The sequence below is a fragment of the Homo sapiens genome, chromosome 10, assembly GCF_000001405.40.
Source record: "Homo sapiens chromosome 10, GRCh38.p14 Primary Assembly".
NCBI classification, from domain to species: Eukaryota; Metazoa; Chordata; class Mammalia; order Primates; family Hominidae; genus Homo; species Homo sapiens.
In genome coordinates, this window is record NC_000010.11 from 115702894 (window position 1) to 115730016 (window position 27123).

The 27123-nt window shown below is 34.3% G+C and overlaps 1 protein-coding gene across 9 annotated transcripts in view; it reads left to right on the forward strand.

Moving 5' to 3' along the window:
- ATRNL1 (attractin like 1) overlaps positions 1 to 27123 on the forward strand; it is an 855635-nt gene that overhangs the window by 609529 nt on the left and 218983 nt on the right. For all 9 annotated transcript variants that reach the window (NM_207303.4, XM_011539587.2, XM_011539588.3 and 6 more), the window contains one exon: positions 24355 to 24462. In NM_207303.4, coding sequence (NP_997186.1) covers positions 24355 to 24462 — 108 coding nt within the window. The remainder of the gene's footprint in view (positions 1 to 24354; positions 24463 to 27123) is intronic.

Sequence of the window (27123 nt, forward strand, 5' to 3'; positions counted from 1 at the left end):
ATTTTTCACAGAATTAGAAAAAGCTATTGTAGATTTCCTATGGAACCAAAAAGAAAAAAAAGCCCAAATAGGCAAGGCAATACTAAGCAAAAAGAACAAACTATAGACTTCAAACTATACTACAAGAGTACAGTAATCAAAACAGATGGTACTGGTACAAAGACAGACACATAGACCAGTGGAACAAGATAGAGATCGCAGAAGTAAAGCCACACACTTATGGCCCTGTGGTCTTTGACAGAGTCAAAAAAAATAAGCAATGAATAAATGACTCCCTATTCAATAAATGGTGCTGGCATAGCTGGCTAACCATATGCAGAAGAATGAAACTGGACCCCTACCTTTCACCATATACAAAAATTAATGCAAGATGAATTAAAGATTTAAATGTAAGACCTCAAACTATAAGAATCCTAGAAGACAACATAGGAAACACCATTCTGGACACTGACCTTGGGAAAGAATTTATAACTAAGTCTTCAAAAGCGATTGCAACAAAAACAAAAATTGACAAGTCAGATCTAATTAAACTAAAGAGCTTCTGCACAGCAAAAGAGAACATTGTTATAAATATCAAAAAGTACCAAAACTACTTATGACAGTGGTTACCTCTGGAGTGATAAGCAGGGAGATAAAATAGGGAAGTAGCACATAGGTTGATGGATGATCTAGTAACATTCTGGTTTTTAGGTTGAGTGGTGAGTTCATGGATGTTCATTATCTTATGTTTTTAATTTAATAAATGCATGTAACATGCATTAACTTAATATACAAACATATATGTAGATAATATATAAACATATAATCTTTTGTATATTTAAAAATATATTTAAAACAAACATATTAAAGAAATGAAAGAAAGAAAACCAGAATGCTCTATAAAAATAGAATAGTTTGGGGGAATTTTCTTTCCAAATATCAAAATTTACTGTGGAGCTTTCTGAAGGATAAATCCTTTATGGAACTGAATAGAAAGTCTAGATTTAGGCCTCTTATCAAATATATGGAAATTTGATCTACGGCTTGATTTTCAAGTCAGTGGGAAAATGATAGAATATTTAATTAATGATGGTGGGACAACTGACTGTGGAAAAAAATGAAATAGAATCCCAATTTGCACATGCACAAAAATGAATCCCAGATTTATTAAAGACAGTCAGTTTTCACTTAAAAGGAAGAAAATTTTTAAACTTGAAAAAGTATAGGAGAATATTTGAGACAACAGAAATGTATTCTTTTACGATTCTGGAGGCTATAAGTCTAAGATCAAAATATCAGTAGGGTTGTTTCCTTCTGAGAGCTGTGTGTGCCTCTTCCTAGCTTCTGGTGGGTTGCTGGCAATATTTGACATTTCTTGACTTGTAAGTGCATCCCTTTGATCTTTGCCTTCTTCATATGGCATTCTCCCTATGTCTCTGTCTCTCTACATTGAATTGTCTTTATAAGGAAACTGGTCATCTTGAATTAGGGGGCCCACCCCATTTTATTGTGACATATTAACTAATTACATCTGCAATGGCCCTATTTCCAAATAAGGCCCCACTCTGACATACGAGGGTTTAGGACTTTAACATTACCTTTTTGGGGAGACATATTTTCAACCCATGTAATTGTTATTTTTAAATTGTATATATGAGTTATATGTACTATTTTCAGGATACATTTAATAATTTTATTTTTAGGAAAAATATTAAGCAGAATAAATATGAACAATAACTATTTTGTTCCTTAAACTAAAATTTTTAAGCTAAAAAATGAAAGCTAACACACCTAGGTTCGCCATCCCTATAGAATACTTTTTGTGATATGGGGTATACGGTCTTGCCTACCTGTCTAGCTTCATTCCCACCACATTTTCTTATATTCTAAAGAAAGCAAAATATTGACTGTTCTATGCTATTTTATAGAAATATTGGTGTCTTTCCATTTCCTATTATAGTCTTTCTGCTTATTATATCCTCATCTTTCTTCTTCTATCTCTTTCTCCTCCTTTCTTCTTCCATAACCCTCTTCTCTTTCTCTTTCTTCTCCTAGTTAACTCCTTCTTCTCCTTCACGTTTCATGTGGAAGCCTTCCCGGCCCCACTCTCCAGTCACTCTCATATGAGACAGCCCTCCTCTTTTGCTTCCATGGCTGCATGTGGATTTCTCTTTCATTGCTTATTTGATTTATGTGTACTGAAGACAGAGAATCTCAATGCCTAGGATGATCCCCGAAATCTGATCTGTACTCAGTAAATGTTAATTGAACCAAACCAATGATGTTAAATATCTCATTTATGTTTCATCTATACCTATGACCTTGGCCATCAGATTGCCTGCTTCCTCTGGATCCTGAGAACTAAAAATACTGTCTGTATGCTTCTATTTTTCAAGCACAAGTACACATTATAGTGATTCAAATACTAATGGATATTTTAGCATTACATCTAGAAATTTTCTTCACTTCCCAGAAAATAAGATTGGTTAAAATAATAGAGGTATTGATTTTAAAAAGCAGGGAATATGCTGTATATTTATTACTTCTCAGACCAGTGATATTTCTTCATTTTTTTATACTTAGTGAATTTTATCTCAAGCCTCATTTTACTCTAAATCTGTTCTCTACTACAGGATAGCTCCTTGCTTTGGTTAATATTTAACTTTTTAAAATATATCACATTACCTTGGTGAGTAAAATATGCATGTACTATAAGATTACCATCACTATAAAATTATGCAGGTACTATAAGATTATTGTCTTTTACTGTAAGATTACTGCACTATAGATTACTGTAAGATCACTGTCATAATAAAATATGCATGTCCTATAAGATTACTGTCTCCCAAAGATTTCAGATTTGTAGAGTAAAATGCTTTCACTATTCTTTTCCTTTGAATTACCAGGTCAGACCACAGGGATTATGCAGAAAGTAGTTTATTTTTGTGCGTTGTGTTTGGTTTCTTTCTAAACAATCTAAACAACTTTTTCTAGGCTTAAAAAATTAGTTTGTGTGCTAATGCATTACTTATTGACAGACATGGTCATATTTAGTATCTAATTAGTGGACAGAGTTAATTTTTTCACACTTCTTACATTTTCTTATATCATCCCAGCCTCAGGCCGTCTTCCACTTAGCTGTCATATTAGTTCCCTGTGGCTAGTACAACACAATTACTGTAAACTCAATGACTTAAAACAAGTTATTCCCTTGCAGTTCTGAAGATCAGAAGTCTGAAATTAGTCCTACCCTGCTGAAATCAAGGTCTCTGTAGCCAAGCCCCTGCTAGAGGCTGTAGGGGAGAATCCATGTTCTTGCCTTTTTTAGTTTCTAAAACTGCATTTCTTGCATTCCTTGGCTCCTGGCCCTTGTCAAAACCAGTACTATCACATCTTACTTTAGTGGTCACATTAGCTTGACTTCTTCTCTAGTTAAATCTCCCTATACTTCTGTTATAAGAGCACTATGATTACAGTTAGGGCCCCTCAGGATGATCCAGGAAAAAATCCCCATCTTAAGACTTAATTTAATCACATCTGCAAAGTCTCTTTTGCCATATAAGGAAACTTGCACAGATTCTAGAGATTAGGACCTGGAGATTTTTTGGGGGTGGGCATTATTCAGCCCACCACAGCTACTATCTGACCAAATCACATAGTGCACTTTTATCTGCCACAGCTTTAATTTCCCCCATGAATTTATTTAATACCAATGTTGTCTTCCATTTTTACACCCATTTCAAAACTCTGAAATAGAAATAGGTTAAGTGCAGACATCCGACTTGTATCACACTGACCACCAGATGGCAAACTTTGTCATTATATTTTTAGGCCTAATCTGAATTAATTTGACAGCCTGAGTAGTTAAATATGCCAATTTAAAGTCATGTATAGTGCCATGCAGTTTAGATCAACTGAAGTTTTATCACACTAGATCATTTTTTATGAGAACAGCTACACATAATCAGATATTAATTTGAGCTACTTTAATGGCTTCTGAAAAAGATTACTTCCTTATCTAGCTAACGTCAACAACTAAGCATGCTTCTATTTCACAGAAAATTCTTCCAATGCAGTCTCTCTTAGTTTTTGAGTAATTTCTTACAAATTCTAAATTTAATTGATATGATTAATTATTAATCTCAATTTTAATTACTTATATACAGGATTTTTCCTAGAACTTGTTTCATTAATGAATTCAACTCAGGCAGGTACTAATCCGTGTCGCTTTTATCCTGTAGTATCACATAATATATAATAAAAATAATGGCTACAAATAAGGCAGCTTTCTAAAATAGCAAAAATTATTATTGTTCTACTGTTTTCCAAAATCATTGCACTCTTATCGTATCAGTCTAAACAATTCAGAGACATCAAAATAACAGCTAATATTCTTCTTCTTTCCCTCTTACAGAAACTTTTATAGAAAAGTTCAGAAAATGTATATTTAAGTAAGTTAAAATTCATGTTCTAAAGATAACACTTTTTGTATTTCCCAGGCATAAAGATATAGGTATAGATGTGGATATCAATGATATGGAAATATAATTGGGATGATTCGTACAGTGAGTTTTTTCTTCTTTTGAACCTCATTCACAATATCATATTAAGTTTATTGGCCCTCCCCTATTCCATCTCCCCGTATCCCCCAAGCCAAAGTAAACATTATTCCAAATCTTATTTGTATTTTAAATATATGTGTGATTATATATGTATGTGCATTTACCTATACATATATATACACATTAATTTATTCTGATTTTTCATATAAAGTTATATTCTTAACATTTTCCAATGTTATTAAGATTCCTTGAAAAATTTTTAATGGTCATATGATATTTTACCTTTTTGGTATTCCAGTTTAACCAAATAGACCAAATTGTCTCCAATTTTTCACTATGATAAATGACACTTTCATAGAAACTTATAAATCTTGCTTATATCTCTCATTATGTATTTCATTAATATAGAATCTTAGCGGTGGAATTACTAGGTCAGAGGATATGTGGACTTTTGATGTTTTTGATATCTGTTGGCAAATAGCTTTCCAGAAGGGCCAAACCAGTGGCATTCTCTTAATACTCTTGCCAAAGTGCTTCATTAATTTAATTTTTGCCAATTAGGTAAAAATATTCCTTGATGTGCTCCTGTTTACTAATTTATGACTCCCTTTCAAGTTATTTAAATTATATATAATGAAATTTATATAAAATAATCATTATCCAGCTTACTGCACTAATATTGAAAAGGAACATAAACATTTGAGATGATGAATATAATTTATAAAGGTGGAAGGGATTACAGAATGGAATTCAGAGTCCTCTTTATCTTTTAGAGTAGGGTTCTCTGGCTTCTTACTTCACATAGATCAGTGTTGTCAATACTGTAATAGAAAGAAAATGAGAATAAAAGTAACACTATTAACTAGAATTTTTTGTGTCTTTAGCTTTTAGTAAGTCCCATAATTGCTTTGTAACTTCTTTTCCCTGAGAAAATTGGAGCCTGAACTCTCAGGGTTCTTATGAAGATACAATCACTTTAAAAAGTGTGATCTTCCTAAGGGGAATTATTGTTTTAACAAAATCTATATACGTTGATAATTTTAAAATATTTGAAAATTTATAAACTCTTTCTTCCTTTTTAATACTGTTTGTTAGAAATGGCTAAGATCTTTGTATAGGAAGGGGACATAATTTCAAGTGACATTATATTTGCTCTTCCTCTTTTGTTTGCACTAGAGAAAGCCTTGCCATATCTGATACATCATTGTCTGAAGGTATGCTTGCGTCATTTCCAATTAAATGTTTTAAGTCAGCAGTATACAGTAAATTATCATAAATGTTATTGTAAGTTCAAGCTGAAATGTTAGCAAGAAAATTGCTAAAGGATATCATTTAAGCTCTTACTGGTTCTGTGTATTTGCTAATGTCTGTGGTGTATATTACTTTGACGAGCCTACAGTGACTTCTAACTTGAATTAAAATACAGTTTTGGTTAATTTTGTTAAGGTCAAGACAAGATTTAAATTAGAATATAATTTGCTTAGTTATCTCACTTTTTTTGAAGCAAGTAAGCAATGAATTGGGAAAATAAATTATGATTGTTTACTTAAGATTCTCAGAAAGGGAACACACATGCTTCGTTGACAACAGTGGCATCAGTAGACTGAATAATAATTTATGCTATATTCATTACTTTTTTATTCCTGATGGAAAGAAGAGCTGGTTAAAAGGTAGCAGAGACCAGTTAAATGTTCAGGTCTATTTTAATAATATTTATACAAATTCATTGACTTTATAATAATTTGCATATTTATTTGAATTTTGACCTACTTGGCCTTAGAATTGTCAGTGAATATAAGGCAGTTTCTGAAGAAAGCCCGAAACACTCACTACAATGCTAGAATTCAATCGGTATTTGTTGGCATGTCACACATTCAGATACCTTGCATGTCTAATTATTATATACTGAAATATATGTAATGAAGAGCAAATATAGTGAACAAAATATATATTGGGTGAGCAAAGTTTATGTCAAGTAAATGATTGACACAAATGTAGTTCTGCTTTTTTGGAATTCTGGTATCACAAACTTATTCCAATATATCTGAAGAGTAAAATCTTGTTCCTGTGGTTACTGTAACTAAAAGGGAATGGAAAAGGCAGGGCAGGAAAAGATTTATGGGATTCAGAGATGAGAAAATGTGAGAGATTTGAAGAAAAAGAAGGTAGAAAAGAAGAGCAATGTATAGACTTTGACAAATGAGAAGAAATAATGAACAGGAATTTATAGTATAAAGAAGAAGGATAAAAGGGTACATTTAGTCTCACAAAACTAGAATTGTACAATAAAAGAATTATTCTAACCCAAATTATTTAATTATCACAATGTTGTTATTCAAATCCTGCACATCCTTTGTCTCACAGACATCTGAAGGCCTTTAGTACCAGTCCAGTCCATGACAATGTCTTTTCCTAAAATCTCATCACTTGTTTATGCTACTTACTTGACAACTGATTGAACACTTGTAATTCTGAGTTGTTCTGTGATTAAAATCTGCTATTATAAGTTAACATTTTATGCTTTAAATCTCAATTTTCTAAGTAGAATACAAATCTGGAAGACAAGCACTCTGTCCTATTTCTTGATAGTTTCTGTAGTTTTAGCAAAGCATCTTGCATTGTAGAGGGATCTCAATTCTTTAATGACTGAGTGTAATATATAGCATTTTTCACCAAAAAGAGTCATTTATCCTATAGTAAAAAAAAAACAATAAAATAACACTGAAAGCATGCAGAGACTTGGGTGAAATTTAGAAGCTTTGGAACATGTATTTCATCAGTAAGTTATTTACTTTGTTTATGTGATAGTCCTGACATGGAAAATCAGTGTAAGCCAAGATAGTATTGACAGAAAGAGCATAATAAATAGAAAAGGGGTACATGAATCAGATTATTTACATTTTGAAGATGGTGGCTGCAATGAGTACTGCACTTGAATTAATCCAAAAGATCTCCCTTGAGCTGAAAGTGTGTGTAGTCATAATTGCGTGACCTGTGACACATTGTCTTTGTCCCACTGGCAGGTTACAAAATTGGCACTGAATCAAGATAGAGTAATTATAGGAAAGTAGAAACTGTCTGGATATTCCACTGAAAGCTGAAGATGTGATCCATTCTTGATTTGCTTTGCTAATAGCTTTAACTTTGAGAAGACAGAGAGAATAGTAAGATAAACAACCAACAGGTGGGGGATGTAGGAGTCCTGGGAGAGAGAAAATTATCATGCCATTTGAGAGTATATAATATAAGGAAAAGAGAATAGAGAAGTGAAGCATTTACATACCCCCAGGTTTTGGCAAAATGTATTCCAAAATGTTTACAGGAAAGCTATTTTGATTCTGTGGCAAGAGAGCTAAAATAAAATACCCTAATAAATCATTCATTCATTTATTCAGTTTAAGTAATGGTATTAGAAAGGGTAAAGCTATAAGTGAGTTAAGCCTTCAAAATGAACTTTTTTTCTTTTTTTGTTAGGATAACCTGACTGATACAGCAAGGTTATGCTGCAGATATGATATATCTTAACTTTGTAATGGCATTTATGAATATCTGGTGTTCTTTTGAAGTTGACAGAAAAATGGACACTGGGTAATAGCATAGCTATTGTTGGTGGTTTCTGAGAGGGGCCAATAATTAGCACTCTTTTCTTTCTCTGGGTTCTAAACAAATAGGAACTAACAGTTAATTTGAAAATACTGGTCAATATATCATTTTTATTATTGATAAAAGTCATGCTGCAGGACATAACTTTGGGTCCATAAACCAAATTATTTTGCTAATTCTGAACTCAAGAATTAGGCAGATTTTGTCACCTGCCATGGATAATACATTAAGGTATGCTGCCTCCTGTGGGTAGGCTTCCCAGATAAGAAGTTATGAGAGACAGGATCCAAACCAAACTCACATCATCTGCAGGCAGACTTGCTTCTAAAAGGAAGAGAGGCAGATTCATCTGTAGAATTAATCACTTCACCTCCTTGGAACACAATGAGTAAGAGCAGGAGAGAAGCTAGGAGAGTATCTATGGAAAATTCCTCCTCATCAAAATTAGGAATGGCAAAAGCTTTTCCCCTCTAACTTTGCCTTGCATCTGTTCTCTTAGGCCACTGAGTTTAACCATAAAGCCTGTGGTCAACTATGTGAGGGAGGAGATCAGCAGTTTATTTGGGCAGGAGGCGAATTCTAATGTCAGCTGCTTTGGGCATTATCCTGAGATCCATGGTGGTCAGTTTTGATTCTACACTGAGAAGATTCTGAAATGGGTTGGAACAGGACATATATCAAATCAGCTTCAATGACACTCTGTATCTGAAGCTGGAAATTTACCGCCAACTTATTTCTTATCTTAAATTATATATAACTCTATGGCCATATTAAATAACTCTAATACTAGAATGTGTAAAGATACATCAGTAATAAAATTCCAAAAACATAGAAATGCCCTAATTAAATAAAATCTCCTCACTTTATCAACTTCCCAAGGAACAATCATTAAAGTTTAAAAGATTATATTTCTTGGCAAGTTAAAACCATAAGTAAAGTCTAAAATTATTTTGCCTTTGTGAGTTAAAAATTCTTCAAATAAATTCCAAAACCATTCTTCAGTATTTCTTATTAAAATATTAAACATTCTTCAATATTAGTCTCAGCCATAAGCACTCACCATTCACAGGAAGAGTTGGGATTGTCTGTTTCTCACCAGAATGCCTAGAGCTCCTTCAGTGTCAACACTGCTATATTAGTTCAATGCCAAGCCTTCTGTGGGCCTGATTTTAAATAACTCAAATTATTAATAATACATGGAAAATTTTCAGAGCACTGGCCACACAGTGACCAAATTTAGAAAGCAGACCAATTCCTACCCTTTAAATGAGTTATCTCAGGCAAAATGATATGCCTAAACCTAATTCTTAGTGTGGCCAAACACCATACCAGAGACTCAGTGGTATCTAAGGAAAGAAGGGTAGATTGTAAACCCTGATTTTAATCTTGACATGATACTATTGGTCTATAAAAGTTGTCCAGAATTCTTGAGCTATGGGTTTAAATCCCAGTGGGAGAAATCCCTAAGCAAATGGTTGATTTTGGTATTATGCATACTTACCTCTTAGAGAAACATTGCTGCCTTCTTGCAAGATTTAGAAATTTGTGGCTGGGCGGAGTGGCTCATGCCTGTAATCCTAGCACTTTGGGAGGCCAAGGCAGGTGGATCACTTGAGGTCAGGAGTTCGAGACCAGCCTGGCCAACATGGTGCAAACACTGTCTCTACTAAAAGTACACAGATTAGCCAGGCGTGGTGATGTGCGCCTGTAATCCCAGCTACTCAGGAGGCTGAGGCACGATGATCGCTTGAACCCAGGAGACGGAGGTTGCAGTGAGCCAAGATTGTGCCACTTAACTCCAGGCTGGGCGACAGAGTAAGACAATGTTTCAAAAAAAAAAAAGAAAAAAAAATTAGAAATTTTTAATCATATCAACCCAGTCCCGAGCACATCTTATTCATGCCTTCTCCTCCAAGACAGTATTTTTAAAACTTTAGTTTCCATTTATCCCAACCCTAAATTGAGAGTGACTGTGTTTGGTGAATAGCACCCATGCTTTTGTGACTAACTAGAGGCATTTCAATCTTATTTTGCTGTGGCTGTTGCCACTGTATGTCTCTATGACTTTACTTCCCAGGAAGTATTTGTCTCTCCTCTGTCATTAGCCAATTCAGAGACAATCTAAGACCACATGGTAGAGAGTGACCTTGAGCTTGTGTTCAAACTAAACGATTGTAAGTTTCATCCATAGGTCCTATCTTAGTCCTAAATTAATTTTTAAATTCAACAAATATTTATTGAACATCTTCTATCTACCAGATACTTTCTAGATGCTGAGATTAACATACATAAAAATCCAAGTACTATCAGTAGAGACAAACTTTAAATAAACAAGCAAAATATGTAGCATATTAGATGATAGAGAATAATGCGGAGAAAAACAAAACAAGGAAGAGGGAAAGTGGCTGTGTGTGTGTGTGTGTGTGTGTTTGTGTGTGTGTCTGTGTGAAGATGATTGACATTTTAATTGAGGTGGTCAGGGAAGAAGTAGAAAATGAAATTTTAGGTAAAGGAACTAGTGTTGGCTACTTAAGCCTAACACTAACCATTTAAAGCTCATGCACATTCTGTTTATATATATACACACACACACACACATATACACAGTAACCATTTAAAACTCATTCAGGTTCTGTTTTCTATCTATCTATCTATCTATCTATCTATCATCTATCTATCTATCTATCTATCTATCTATCTATCTATCTATCTATAGTCTCTCCATAAGAGATTGAATGAGCCAAGAAAGCTGTCTAGTCATCAGTTGCTGAAGGACTGGCTAAGACAGAAATACACAGATACGTTTCTCAGTTGCCCCAAGTTTGGGACTCACTCCTCATATATGTGTACAAAGTACAAAAATTAAAATTCAAGTTCCGTAAATTTAGAACTTGACTTCTTTGTAGTTTACTATGTTTGGTAACAGCAAATATTCTGCTCAATAATTTCCAAAGCCTTTTTTTCCATGTGATTAAGTCATTGCCTCAGCAAAGCTTAGAAATAGTTGCATTTGCATAGTAAATGGCATATTAAGGCCTTGGCCCTAGTTGAAGCCCAGTGATCTTCATTTTTGTTTTCTGGATTGCCCCATCACTTGTTCTATCCTTAAGGAAATGGAGTGGCTTATTTGATTTCTAAATTTAAGTGAAATAAACAGCATCAGTTATAAAGATGATGTTGTAGGACCTTTTCCTTAGTTCAGCTAAAAATGGGGTCCTTATCACATGACCATGAAAGGTTAGGCTCACAGATACATTGAAGGGTGGGAAAAATTGAATTTATTGGGTGAAAAGAAAAAAAAAAACTCAGCAAAGTGAGAGAATTTCCTGTTAACAGGCCCCCATCTCACCAATTGACTCCCAGGTACCACCCTAGAACAGGAGAGGCCACGTTCCTCCCGCTGCAAACAGCACGAACTTTCTGAGGCTCCACCCAGTGTGCATTCCTCCCATTGCACAGGCCTGTCAAAGGTTCTGCCAGGCGGCCCATTTTACTTGGCTATCTCAATGATATTATGTTCTTTATCTTCACTTTTTACTTTTTAACTTGTTCAGAATCCCAAGCGGATGAGAAGGGTCTACTTAATAATAGAAACCTTATCAGAGACCCCAACAGTTCAATAGATTCATTATTGATTGCTATGTAAGTGTCCATTTCTAGAGAAAGGGTAATGAAGCATGTATTTCTTTTCTCTGATCCACTTAAAATTTTCATCAACCAAGAAATAAATGGCCTGATTATCAAATTTAGATATTTATGGGAAAATTCATGGAAAGGAAATATATTAGAATAAAGAGAATTTGTAGATTAAGTGTGAAATATATAGAATATATTTGGTGAAAGTTAAAATGCTTTTGGTAAAGGGAAGAAAATCATAGGGTTAGATATGTCTTCTTAGCAGGAATATATCATAAGCCAATACATTCAAGAAAATTTACCAGTTGGTTGGTGAAGCAGACAAAACACAGGAAGACGCTGCAAAGTTTTTGGGAGCATCATTAGACCAAGAGAGGTTGAATGAGCCAAGAAATCTGTCTGGTCATCAGCTGCAGAGGGGCTGACTAAGTAAGAAATACACAGATGCCTTTCTCAGTTGCCCCAAGTTTGGAACCCACTCCTTATAAAAATATATACAAAGTACAGAAATTAGAATTCAATAACATATGGTCCAAAAAGTTGTATTCCAGAGCAAGGGCTAAGGAGGGTCAAGTTTTGGGTAAGTTTTGCAGTGGACAAAGGATGGTTTCACAAAGTTTGAAAATAAGGGAAAACATGCCTAGTCTGCTAGCTAGGGAACTTCTTGGGTATCATATACCTCTTGCCACCCAGAGTAGACATAATAAACTGAATGTTTCTAAATCCATATACCTTATCTGTCCTATCTTTTGATATACGACATGGAGGGAACCCTGGAATATGAAAAAGCAATACTCATTCTTGTGGTGGCTTTTATGATTTTTATTGAATTACTAGCAAGTATGGCAACTCACTATCTTGATTCTCTTTGCCCCCAAAGGGCATTGACCTGTTCAGGGGATGGAATCGGGGTCAACATGAAAGAAAACATGCAGAGAGACAACTAACACATTGGAAGTTTAAAGGTTCAAAGAGAATTCTGCACTCAATAAAAAAACAGGTTAAAAATAATCACAACAGTAAAACATGAAAAATGTATAATAAATACCAATGTGAAGTTCCGAATTTAGTTTCAAAAATTTACTCATAGACATGCTAAGTAAAGAAGACTTGTCTTGATCAAAGTTCACGTCAAGGTATTCAAGGGTCCTAGATGACCATCTGTCAGGAAAGTCACAGCACTTCTGAGCCTGCTTTAATAGGAACATTGGACTTAGTAACCTCCAGTATTCCTTCCAAATCTGGGAATGAGTTACTCCAATGAGCCTGTGACTTTCTCACCTTCTGATTTTTGTGGTTTAACACATTGTTCCAAGTACATAAGAAAGCCGATTTATATCAGTCATGAGTAATCTATGCTACATCAAACTGCCCTTCACATTTAAAAAATTCAAACAATTGAAATTCATTTTTTTTAAAAAACATCATGTCTCCTTTCACAAAATCTTAAAAGCAAGTCAGATTGCCTATTCATTTATCACACCAGTTAGTCAATGATTATTATAGGTATCTTCCAATGGAGACTTAAAAAAATTATATTTAGCAGATGTCTTCACAAAGGAGCATTTTACTGGAGAACCATTTTTTAGCATTTTGCAATATTGAACTGAAAATGACTCCATTAGCTAATAGCAAAATAATCCCATTTTCCTCAAAGGAAAAAAATATCTTTAATATATGTATTGATTAAAAGGAAAATGCCAGTGTGTGGGTCATTTACGTATCCAGGAAGATTTAAGAACCTCTTGAAGAACTTCAAAATTATAGTCATAAACTACTTAAATGTTCAACACGAACTCCTTATACACTAAATGAAAAAGCTAACTGGATTATGTTGCATTTAGAATTTTTTAACCTAGAAGCTAGCATGTTGTGGCTCAGAATTGAATCATTAGCTTTGCATTAATTCCCAGAATCAGGGAGAAAAGAAATCTTTCTTCAGTAAATTACTTCTTGGGGTTGGGGGAACTACTGAGAGATTGATCTGAGCTTTGTTGCAGCAAGAGCCTCAAGTCATAAATTATTGGCACACAAGCAGAAGTCAGTGTGTCATTTCTATTGTAGTCAGATGCTTTTATATTTCCACTCGTCAAGGTTGACTTGATCATATTGTACACCTCCTGGATGTCCGAGACATAGCATTCATTTGTCCCTCTCTTTGAGAGCAGGACAGGTATTTCTTTCACAACTTAAACCTCTAAGTTTAAGAAATATACTCCATAGTATGACTGTGGGGGTATTCTATGTGTGAAAAATTTTTTCGAGTGCAGATTTCAAAATTTGAAATTAACCAGGTTCTCATTTTTGCTCTTTGAGGAGTAATATGTATTAAAATCCATTCTGAGGATCTAGCTTTTAAATGACCTTTTCAGTACTCATCCTTTTGCTCATTTTGATTTGCTCAGATAAATTACAACCACCTGGCCTTTTGTATTAAAAAAGGTTACATACAAAATTGACCTTTTGATACTTATTGAGGGAACTAGGTTCATTGTATTTGAGATTAACTGCTGTTGCTGTTTTCTGAATGATGTCTTAAATAACTTTACTTGAGGATGGTAAAGCCTATTTCTTGTGCCATTTTGTTCCAGGCTAATTCTAACACCATAGGAATGGACTGTCTGAGATATACAAAGAAAATTATGTTTTAGAAAATAATGAATCTAATTTATTCAGCTCCTGTGTGCCTAATGATTTACAGATGTGATTTCAATGTATCTTAATCTTGATAAACCCAATATTATACTTTGGCCAGTCTGCCCTTCACCATATTGCTTATTAAGATTCTAGCTTCTTTCTGTCTGTTTCTTGAATATTTTAAGCTCAGGCTTGCCTCAAAACTTGGTGCTTGATTTTCCCGCTGCCTGAAATGTTCTTTTTTTTTTTTTTTTTTTTTGAGATGGAGTCTCGCTCTGTCACCTGGGCTAGAGTGCAGTGGTGCAATCTCAGCACACTGCAATCTCCACATCCCGGGTTAAAGCGATTGTCCTCCCTCAGCCTCCTGAGTAGCTGGGACTACAGGCGTGTGCCACTACGCCCAGCTAATTTTTGTATTTTTAGTAGAGACAGGATTTCACCATGTCAGTTGGCCAGTATGGTCTCCATCTCTTGACCTCGTGATCCACCCACCTCAGCCTCCCAAAGTGCTGGGATTACAGGCGTGAGCCACCTCACCCGGCCTGAAATGTTCTTTTCTAGCTTCCTTTGTTCCATTCACCTAATATTCTATTTGCCACCCTACATTTTCTGGCTTCTGTGTAATTAGGTTGGACTGTGTGACTATTTCTGATAATGAGTTGTATCACTTGTGGGCTGAAGCACTGAAAAGTCCGTACACGATTCACTAGTCCTTTTTCTGCCATGATTCTTCGGGAAGTTTTGGGTTGAGATGGAAAGTGACAAGATTGAAACAATCTATATGGCTGATTTCCCAAATGGGAAGTTACCTAGACCAGAGGATTTTGTGTGTGCAAAAAATAAACTTTTCTGTGTTCAACTACTGAGCTTTTGGGAATGTGTGCCTATTCTGATTAACTATTCAGGGTTTCAGGGCAAATGTCATTTCTCTTCTGTAACCATTCTATCTAAAGCACTTTCCCTCTGCACTGTATCTTTCCTCTGAGCATTTTGTTTCCCATAGCAATTTTTTTCCATAATACTTTTATGTATTTGTTTATGTAAGTCAACGTCGAACAAACAAGACTTCTGTGTGCTGTTAATTATGATTCTTAAGTGCCCAGAGTATTTTTAAAGTTGTCAATAAGCATTCATTTTTCAACATTTTGTTTTAATGTCAACAAGTACAAAAAGCAAGATAAAATACTATCTTGCAAAGGTCCATTGAATTTCCTGTTGGTCACCAGAAAAGATAGCCTGTATCAAGCCATAGCACAGTTTTTAAGACTCTCCTAGATAAATCCATTTTGCATTATTTCTTTTATCCTGAAATGAGATCATCTTTGGCAAAGTCTTTATAGGTAATGCTATCTGTATCAACACAGAAAAGATTTAGAGTCCGTATTTTCATTTTAAAATTTCCCGAAGAGTCACCTTCAAAAATTCTGCAATATTTTTGCATATATGGAGGTGTTCGTCCACTAACGAATAGCTTTGTTGCTTTTAACTCCAGGCTACATAAGTACTTCCTCCAATAGCAGACTATACTATCTGCCAGCTGCCTGCTTCCAGTTTTCTGGCACATGGTTCAGAAGAGTCTCTGGTATTTTTTTTGCTGGCATGGAGAAGCTTGCTGAATAGAATCAAAAGAGTCACCCCATACATCAGTTACTAGAAAAAGGGCATGCAGTAGGAGCTCAGTAAAAATTCATTCAATTAATTATTACAGGCAAATTTATTCACCATGGAAATCTTGATATGAGCAAACTATCACATTTTTCTACAAATAGGCTTTTATTTTTTAAAAACGATGAAAGAAAAAAACAAAATTTTTCCTAGAATTTTAGTCTAAGCTATTCAGGATCATCCTTTGGAATTTGAAGTAAAGAACTTCATAATTTGCTTCCAGTCCTTAATGGAGTTTCTTGACAAGGCATTAAGACTTTACAGAAAAATATTTTCTTATTGCTAATGCATGAAGACATGTGCCACATGAAGTACAGAACTTCATTTCTCATTAAGGAACAAAATGAGATATGTGATCAAGTAGAAGATAAAAACAAGTATACACAGGTATATCATCTGCATAATCAAAGTTTTGCATGGAATATTCATCTTCAGTGTTATGAAGACTTAAGTGATTTTCTTTTGAAAAAGTGTTCACAAGTTGGAATTCTTTGTTAATGAGAAGTCAGCAAGCACACAGTTGACAAAAACCAGGGATTGTCTATGCTGGATCATGTTAGTGTTTCACTTAGACTAAAAAGAAATGATGAAATTCTAATCCTTTCCTAATTTACTTCAAAATACTCAGTGTTAGCAAACATTAGAAATTTCTGGAATGGATGTGATAATTAGATAGGGATATTATTTTACTTTTCTTTGTTTGCTCCATACTGCAAATTAGCATGATCATCCCCCCGCCACCAAAAAATGATTTTACCAAGGTCTATCCAGAGATACAAAGCTTAACTGATTTGATTAACAACTTTGTGATATGCTTCAAGACACAGCTTTTGTGTTGAGAAAAATTCAAATTTTGGTAAAATTCTATCCACCCCCCCACACACTCTTTTTTTTTTTTTTTTTGAGATGGAGTCTTGCTTTTTTGCCCCAGGCTGGAGTGCAGTGGTGGTCTTGGCTCACTGTATCCTCTGCCTCTCAGATTCAAGCCATTCTCCTACTTCAACCTCCTGAGTAGCTGGGATTACAGGTGTGCGCCACCAGGCCTGGATATATTTTTTGTATTTTTTAGTAGAGACAGAGTTTCGTCATGTTGGCTAGGCTGGCCTTGAACGCCTGACCTCAGGTGATCTGCCCGCCTTGGCCTCCCAAAGTGCTGGGATTATAGGTGTGAGCCACTGCGTCTGGCCCCTATCCCTTTTAAATTAAATTTATTTTCATGAAGACTTACAAATGGACAGATGTCAGGCAACCCTTCCATTTTCTTGACTTCAAAATTTAATTACAAAGAATCGCCCCTGTAAGAAGTACTGTTTTGTCTCCCATGATGTTTAAGTAGGAATGGATAGCATGGATATGTAAAGATAAGGAAGATTTGCTAATGAAGATTATTCATTTTCTCTGACATTTCCTAAATTAACCTAAACAATGACAGCCCATGCTTAAAAGGACCATACTTGTAAAAGTAAGGTATATTTTATTTAATTCCTGTCAGTAGAAACCTTTTAAAAATACCTTATTACAAGGAAATGATGGTGATGCTATCAGGTCATGTAGTTTGTACCACCCTGCTCTTGTTAATATTGACAATTTCCAGAGTTCCATGAGACTGATTTTACATTGAAGTTATGATCTACAATCAGTATGTAAGGCTGATATCTTTAAGAAACAAGATCATTCAGTATAGAGTATAGGTGGCATTGCATATACACCAAAGTTTACAGAAAAAAACAAAGTTTGAGAACCAGTGAGCTACATGAAGAAAACAAATAAATGAAATGTTTCCAATTAAATGTCTGAGCTTTGAACTAATTCTGCCTTGAAGATCATTTTCAAATTCTTATCTAGCAAATAGGAATGTGTCAGTAATTCTAAAGTAGTTTTGCTGGCTTTTAGAATTTGTTCCCTTTTGTTTTAAGCATTAATATGAGTTGATTGATTTATTTCTTGAAATAACTTAAGGAAGTAGAGTTACATTTTGGTTCAGGATGAGGGGCTGTTAGCTTCTGAAGACAGCAGTAAGTTAATGATTGAATCCACTGAAATTGCAGGGAAATAATTAAAGTATCATCTATTAGTGCCAGGTTCATAGACTTTTCCAGTCCTCATCTATTTGCCCTTTAGAGGTCTGTGATCTGCAGTTTGAGGAATCTCTGGCCTAGAGGTTCTGTGAGGTTCCTGCCAGGTCTAAAAATCTGTGGAGATTGTGTCTTGGTCATATGAATTATATAATCAGTGTTATCCAGGTGACAACAAGACCCTCATTTGTTGACATAATTTAATCCGTTATTTTGACCTTTTGGTTTAATTTTACTTTGAGTGATAACGTATTTACTTTGATACGCATAGTCATGCTTATACTTTCTACATACATTGACATGCATATGTACTATATATGCATTGGTATATACATATATATAAGCTTATTGTATTAGTCCCTTTTCACACTACTGATAAAGACATACTTGAGACTGGGAAGAAAAAGAGGTTTAATTGGACTTACAATTCCATATGGCTGGGGAGGCCTCAGAATCATGGTGGGGGGCCAAAGCACTTCTTACATGGCAGCGTTAAGAGAAAATGAAGAAGAATCAGAAGCAGAAACCCCTGGTAAACCCATCAGTTCTCATGAGACTTATTCACTATCATGAGAATAACACGGGAAAGACCAGCCCCCATGATTCAGTTCCTCCCACTCGGTCCCTCCCACAACACGAGAGATTTCTGGGAGATACAATTCAAGTTGAGATTTGGGTGGGGACACAGTCAAACCATATCACTTATATATGCTATTAACATTTTAGAGGATATTTTGAAATCTATATTTTAATCAAAGATCCAGAAACATTTTCCGTTTTTCCTTTGTCTTTCCTCTGTCTGGTAGCAGACCTGATGACAGTGAAAGGTAGGTTTAGGTTTTGGCACATTACTGCCCAAATAGCAACCCCAAATAACTGAACAACCTACCTGGAAAATCTGCTGTGGCTATTTGACAATATTTTGCTTTTGAATAATGAAGAAAAAATAACTAATCTTAAGGTTTTATGGAATCTCGCATTATTAAAGGCCTTCTGGACAGTCACTCAAGTTTACTTTGCAAGTTAATACAAATATTGCAAAAATACCATTTGACAAAGAAATTTCAAAAATCATTGGAAATGAATATTATCAGCCAACTCAGTGAATACTTGTCAGTGTTAGACAGGTAGAATTTTTTTTTTATTTTTAAGTTAACACATTATGTCAAACACAGCATATTGCCGGCAGGTCAAAGATTATAAAAGCCTAGAAAAAAAAATAACAACTGTAACCTGAATAAAGATGTTTTTCCAAACCACTCCCATAATGACTAACATCACTATCTAGGAAAATTAACCTCACACTGGAAGACTGAAAGCAGAAGATTTCCAATATTTTTCTGAACAAGAATTTGAACCTTGTGCCTTGAAGATTTAGTTATATAAAATGGTAGAAAACCATGCTTTCCTAATTTAATGATACTAAAAGTTCTTGCCACTTCTCTTCTTTACACCATCCTAACATCAAAAGAACAAAAAATGATTTTTTACTTGTATTACTGTATGCTAAGTATGTTTGTGTTAATAACAGAAAGCCTCTTATTTCATGAATTGTTGCATAATCTTTTCTTCAGAGGCTTTATTTTAGTTTGTAGCTCAAAACTAATGACAAAATCATTTTGAGTGCTCTTTTTATACCTTTCCAAATTGTTTTGAATATAATTGCTGTTAGAAATATTAATGCATTGTGATGACTTTATGGCAGTTTTTTTCTATGATCTTTGCAGTATTGCCATAAGCTAGATGATGAGGAACAATATGAAATCTGATATTGATTTGCAAGACAGGTCCACAAAACATCCCCATTCTAAAAAAATAAATGTCTACCTACTTTCAAGGAGAAGACATAAATTCTAGAACATCAAAGGACATATAAGAGTTTTAAAAGTTTATGCATAATTAGAGTCAGTTTTATCATAACTTGCCTTTACCCACATTTGGATGAAACAGATTCTTATACTATATTTTATTCACTCATTCATTGTTCATTCATAAAACACTGTTGACTATCAACTAAGTATTGTGGGGAATGAAAAACAAAAATAGGCTTTTGCCTTAAAGAAGATCCCAGAAAAGCATGGAGACATAAAGAGATGGTGCCATATTAATATCACAAATAATTCATAGAAGAGGTGATCATTTCAAAGTTGAGGTGAGGTAGAAGGACATTTGAAGGTGGAGGAGAGAATAGATAGGGAACCTATGCAAAAGAGTCATGTAGTAGGAGGTATGAAGACAATTGCAGGCAGAGTTAGTCACTGCTTTGTTTTTTATGTATGTGTATTTTTAAGGAGTATTATCCTAAAGTCATTCAAAGAGTTGTATGCCTTGTGGTGTTTGGAAAGGTAGCTAGTATCAAGTTTGGGGAATGATACCGTATTTGAAGTAATAGTATTAAGTTGAAGAATTATCTGTATTCATATTTGATAGAATCACTGACTCTACCTGGTTGTCAAATTTAAGCGTAGATATTCTTTTCTTTTGTATTTATTTATTTATTTATTTATTTATTTTTGAGACGGAGTTTCGCTCTTGTTACCCAGGCTGGAGTGCAATGACGCAATCTCAGCTCACTGCAACCTCCACCTCCCGGGTTCAAGTGATTCTCGTGTCTCAGCCTCCTGAGTAGCTGGGATTACAGGCATGTGCCACCATGCCTGGCTAATTTATTTTTATTTTTATTTTTTAGCAGAGACAGGATTTCACCATGTTGGTCAGGCTGGTCTTGAACTCCTGACCTCAGGTGATCCACCTGCCTCGGCCTCCCAAAGTGCTTACAGGCGTGAGCCGCTGAGCCTGGCCTGATTTTCATATCATTTTTAATTCCATGGTTTGTTTTATAAGAGATTTTGAATAGCAAAACAGTTATTATGTACAACAAATAAGATAGTAACATCTCTTTAATTTTTAAATTTTCTTCACAACAATGTTTATGGCAGTATGATTATAATCTATTGTATTATGATCAATTTGTTCTTTTGGCTTTATTGTTCTGCTGAATAATTGGCAATAGCAGATTAGTTATAAAACAGACACATCTGCTATATGGCTTCTTATGGGTATACAAAATGTTAAGCTTCATTTTATATAAAACACAATCCTGGAAAATCTATTAATTTTCAAATTTTCTTAAGAAAATACGATACAGTTTTTCCTAATTTTCAGGATGAGTTTTTATCATTCTTAGTCACAAATGGTGGAAGGCAGTTCCAAATCTAAATTCATTTTACCACAATAATGACAGTTTCCAACTGTCTCATAAATTTGCAAAACATTTGTTAAAAGGGAGACTAGTAGAGCAAAATGTGTCACTGTTGCTGAAGAAAATGGGCCTGTGGTAATTAGTGTGCCGTCTTCTGAGACAAAAATAGTGCTTGAAATTTAACATTATAATTGTACCAATTAGCAGTTATTGAGTGCTCACAATGTGCCAGCCTCTGTGTGGAACAGCCCAAGTGTGTTATCTCTTTAGTCTCAACCTTATGACTTAAAGATACTATTGCTATTCCCATTTTATGGAGAGAAAGAATGAGTGAAAGGTCTCAGTAATTAGATTATGATCCAATTGCTGGTAAGTTCAACAGCTGGGATTTAAAACAGGTCCTCTAAGGTATAGGCGTAGTGTAGGTACTGTTATTATTTATAGATGAAAAAAATTGAGGCTTAGAGAGGTCTAAATAATTTGGTTAAGCTCAAACAGCTAAAAAGTGGAGAAACTGGTATTTAAAAGTAGGACAATTGTTAAGAATTAGGGGAGGAGGGCAGAAATTAGTTGCAAAGATAATCACGATTTACTCCATTTGATTATTTTAGGGCTATCACACTAAAGCAAGAGTGCTACGAGGGAAAATGATGTTCTCTTCCTAAATTTCACAGTAAGAACATTTGCATTAGTCTCCCAAAGGCAGAAACTCAGCTGTTTCAGCAAGGACTCTCTAACTAGTCTTCTACTAGGTGACACAGAATAAATTTATTTGTCTAATTCTTTATTTGTAACTTTACTGACACACTATATTGTGCCCTAATTATTTCCATTTTACCAGATTTGCTTTACAAACTATAGTAGTAAAGTCCTGGGCAAGAAGAATATTTTTCTTGTTCTTTACATAAAGTAATTTAGTAGGCATTCAGTTCTTAAAAACTGATAGAAACACAAAGCTCAGGAAACAAACTAGAATTTTTAAATATACTTTCGCATTCTACAAATTTAAAAATTGAACAAAAGTATCAGTCACTGATTTTTTTATGAGTTTTTGGGAGTCACAATAATAGATTACAGTCCATGGAACTCTATTTTTTGTCAACGATTGTGAGTTTGGAATATTTGTTGATTTATATTACAATATGTGATATTGAGTATTCATTAATTCTATTTTGTAGACCTTATACTTTTAGATATAAGGAAAAGGCAAGATGAGGAAAAAGAAGCTGTTCATTTTGTCTAGCAATCACTTGTCATATGAGATGCCGTTTATATGCTGAGGAGAACAAATACAAATGGAGATAATTGATAATACAAATCTTAGAAAATTGTGTTCAAACACAAAGTGGAATTTACAATTTTCTCAAGACTTTTTGTACATGAGTATAGGAAGGGTAGATTGTATATTTGTGTGTGTTGTCTGGGCATGTTGGTGTGTGTGTTTTTACCAAAGACGAAGAACCTGGTGTCTTCTGCATTTACTATCCTTAGCATTTGAGATAACATTATGTTTGCATTTTGCATAGACATACTATTCAGATCAATTTCCCATTCCTATTGAGAGAGGCATAAACCAGATTCTATTTGCCAGGAGCTGTATTTTTAATAATATAATTTTGAAGTTATATTAAAGTGAATAATTTGATAATTCAGATCACATTCACTTTTTACTTTGAATATGTATTTTTAAAATGAATTTGTTACTTCAAAAAAATGTGATCTACAAACTTAAATTGTTACTTATTAACAGTTGCATTATTTCTATCCCATATTGTCATGTGAATGTTCTCTTTTTAATAATAAAAACCAGGTATTAAAACAAACATTTTAAATAATAAACTGTCATGGCAGTTTATTATTTAAACTTCTGCTTAAATAAATAAACTTGTGTTTAAATAATTTGGCCTGTGTTCCTTTATCATCTACAAGGGAATTTTATGAATCTTCACTCACAGGACTACATCCATTTACATTCAAAGACTAGTAGTTAACATTTTAAGTAAATGACAGAGAATCTTTAAAAATATCTGTGAATAATGAAGCCATTCATTGTGTTCAAGGATTTTGCCTTTCTTCAATAATACAATTTTCTTCTCATTTTAAAGAGTATTTAATTGCATCACACGTCCTATTTTAATATTTAATAATAATTTTATTAGCTGTATAGAATGAGAAGGGCAAGAATTGCAATATCTAGTGCTGGTCATCAATTTTTTTATCATGACTTAATGAATATCATAATTACAAGGAGAGGCAAAAAGATAAATTAGCTTAGTAGTTGGTTGGGACTTGCTAGTTTATTGGTTTTAGCCTGGGCACAGCCCAGAATAGTCACAAAGAGAAAGAAACAAGTATCTGGGGGTGCTGTAGAAGTCCTTGCACACAATTTCTGCACCTTACTAATCATGCCTCATTTTGAATGATAAACAGAGGCTTTGAACAAAATTATAAACACTGCCAATAATAATTCCTTCTGGTTCCATAGCAGTTCACAGGGGATTCTGATGACTTACAAAACTTAGTCTTGGCAGGTATATGTTCCTTTAATTTCTATTAATGCATTTTGACAACTTTTCATTATCTTTTCTTAAATATTTTTACTGTTTTTTTTTTTTCTTTTTCAGCTAAGACAAAAATCTGAGTTATTTTGAGTAGGAAAATTTGGCATAGCCATCACTGTAATAACACTTTTTACTCAAGTAGCACCTCTCACCCGAGGCTTTCAGAGTGCTTTTGAGTACATTGTATTAGGCCTGCAGGATGGAGGTCAGGGGAAAAGTTATTTGTAGGCACCGTACATTTAAAGCTTCTGTGGACATACAGCCAAGGCCACGGGGAGAAAGTAATTTTCATCTTTAGTATTCTAGATATGGATATCTGTATAAAATGATTCCTAACTTTTCAATGCCATTTGTTAAAAGAGGGAACCAGATATTGTTGAATTTCATGTGCTTTTAAACCTATTTTAAGATAAATCATTTTTAACCCCCTCCAGCAACTGCTTCGAGAACGACAGCAGATGGCCAGCCGTCCCTTTGCTTCTGTTGATGTAGCTCTGGAAGTGGGAGCTGAACAAACAGAGTTTCTGCGAGGGCCATTAGAGGTAGGAACAGCGGTGCTGAAAGAGGACCACTGTGCTTTGCATATTTATTATATTGCTTCTCTAATCTACATCTGCTTATGAAGCCAAACAGAGTCTGATTATCTACAGTTGACAAGATTCAGCTACATATGTTATGCCATTTTCAAGGCACATAGTTTTAATAGTATGACATGAGCTGTAACCAAAGCCACTGGAGAATCTATTAGCCTAGGCAGGAGTGACAGACTGCTCACCTGGCAGCCTTTCTCTGACAGAGGAGCTGAGGGAATTTAAGATATAGGTATGATCGAAGAAACAAAGCGCCTATATTTAGTCTTTGGAGTACTCTGTGCACCAAGTTAACAATTCACATCTATCTTTATTAACAAAGTTTACTTAGAAAAGGTACGAGTGGAGATGAGTTGCATTTTAATTACATAGCTTCATTTTTGAATGTTGAAAAGTGAATGTTTCTCACATATAAAATGAATATTTTTATTTGTGGTTAATTGCTGTATTATTACATTCCTTTATTGCAAAGGCAGAAATAGAGTATGATGAAACAGAAATCATTATATGCAACTAAATATGGTATTAGAATCCAAAAGTAATACATGAAGTGGTTTCTGAAAATAATAATCCCTAAAGATGCAAAATTCGGCCGGGCGCGGTGGCTCACACCTGCAATCCCAGCACTTTGGGAGGCCAAGGTGGGCAGATCACGAGGTCAGGAGATCGCGACCATCCTGGCTAACATGGTGAAACCCCGTCTCTACTAAAAAAAAAAAAAAAAGAAAAAAAAAAAAAAAAATTAGCCGGGCGTGGTGGCAGGCACCTGTGGTCCCAGCTGCTCAGGAGACTGAGGCAGAAGAATGGCGTGAACCCGGGAGGCGGAGCTTGCAGTGAGCCGAGATCCTGCCACTGCACTCCAGCCTGGGCGACAGACAGAGTGGGACTCCGCCTCAAAAAAAAAAAAAAAAAAAAAAAAAGGATGCAAAATTCACAAATTATGATTAATGACTATTCAAAGCATTATGATGCATACTAATTTAATTGTATGTTTATTACTTTTATTTACTTTTATATGTGGTAAGATATATTTAAGTAGAAAGGTTAAGAAACTCTAGAATTGAAACATTTTATTCTCTTTTTTAAAAATGTCTTTATTTGACTAATTTTATGTTGCCATTTTCAGATTTTACTTTTTGTCAAGGAAAATAAAGAATGGAAAAATAGAATCATTCAAAAACCTAGGTATACATATAATAGATTCTGTCTGTAGCATTTTTGTTTTTTCTGAAAAAATAAGACAAAATCACAACTCATGGATGCTACTCAAAGGGTCAGTTTTTAGAGGAAATGAAATATTGGGTGCATGTTTCCCTATGATTTTTAAGACATTTTGTGTACTTGATTTTTTACTACTCTAGATCACAGGTTACCATGGAAGCTTAGAACATCAGGAAATTTGTGTGTATATCTTCTATTTGTTGGGGAAAAAATAACAAAAAAGAATGATTAAATGAAAGTTACAGCAAGTGCTCTAATTTCATTTTGGTTCCTTGTTTCAAATAACTTTTATAAAAAACTTTCACACACAGAAAACTTAGACTATTTTTGGACTATTATAAATTCTTTTTATCCCCATCTGTTTAAAACATTCTTAAATACTGCTAAAAATCGAGTAACAAGAGAAAAAAAATGTAAGTAATGCACACATAGACTAAAGAAGAAAAGAAATAAAGAACTAGAAAATTCACAAACTCAAGGAACAAATATGACACAGACATATGTCACCATAGTTTGTCAGTTGCACGTTAATAGTGTTCAATAATGTATTGTTAGGTACCCATGTGTTCATAATCATCATATCTTCATGTTCTATTTTTTCCAAATGTTGGTTCTTTCTTTATCATTGTGAATTTTTAACCTTAAATTGTATTTTGTAGAGTTAAAAAATGTCTAGCCCTACTTTCTTTTAGTCCATATTTTCTGATATTCCTTATTTCATTTGCAATTTCGCTATATCCTTTTGTTTTACAACTATACTTTCTGGAAAAAACTGTTAGCTTTTTTATTTTTTCATTTACTCTGTTTTTTATTGATGTTAACACTGACATTAACTACTGTTCTACCAAGGCTTATTTCAGCTACCCCATTTTGTGTGTGTGTGTGTGTGTGTGTGTGTGTGTGTGTGTGTGTTGTTACTAGCCTTGCTTCTTTTTGTTTTTTTTTCCCAGCTTCTGTCCATAAACTGATTTTCATCTACTAAACAGAATATTGCATATTCTATTTTTATGTTGCTTATAGCTACCCTTTCCTTATCAAGATTCATAGTGATTTTTCCCTAGCTATGCTTTAATCTTATTAAAACATATTCCTCCATTGCCCATCTCAAATAAAATTAATACTTTAGCATGCTCTCAACTTCCCTCTGTTTCTCCTTCCATATGTTAATACCACCTGGAATTTTTATCAAAACGTTATGGATGTACTTCTTTCTTTATTATGGCCTATGTAAAGAACAATGAACTTTATTTGTTCTCCTTTACTTTTGATATCTAGTTGTTTGCTCATGCATTTCTTTTATTTTTCACTAAGATTACCTCTCTAAAAGATTTTTTTCAAAGAGAAACTTTGGGTCCAGCATGGTGGCTCACTCCTGTAATCCCAGCACTTTGG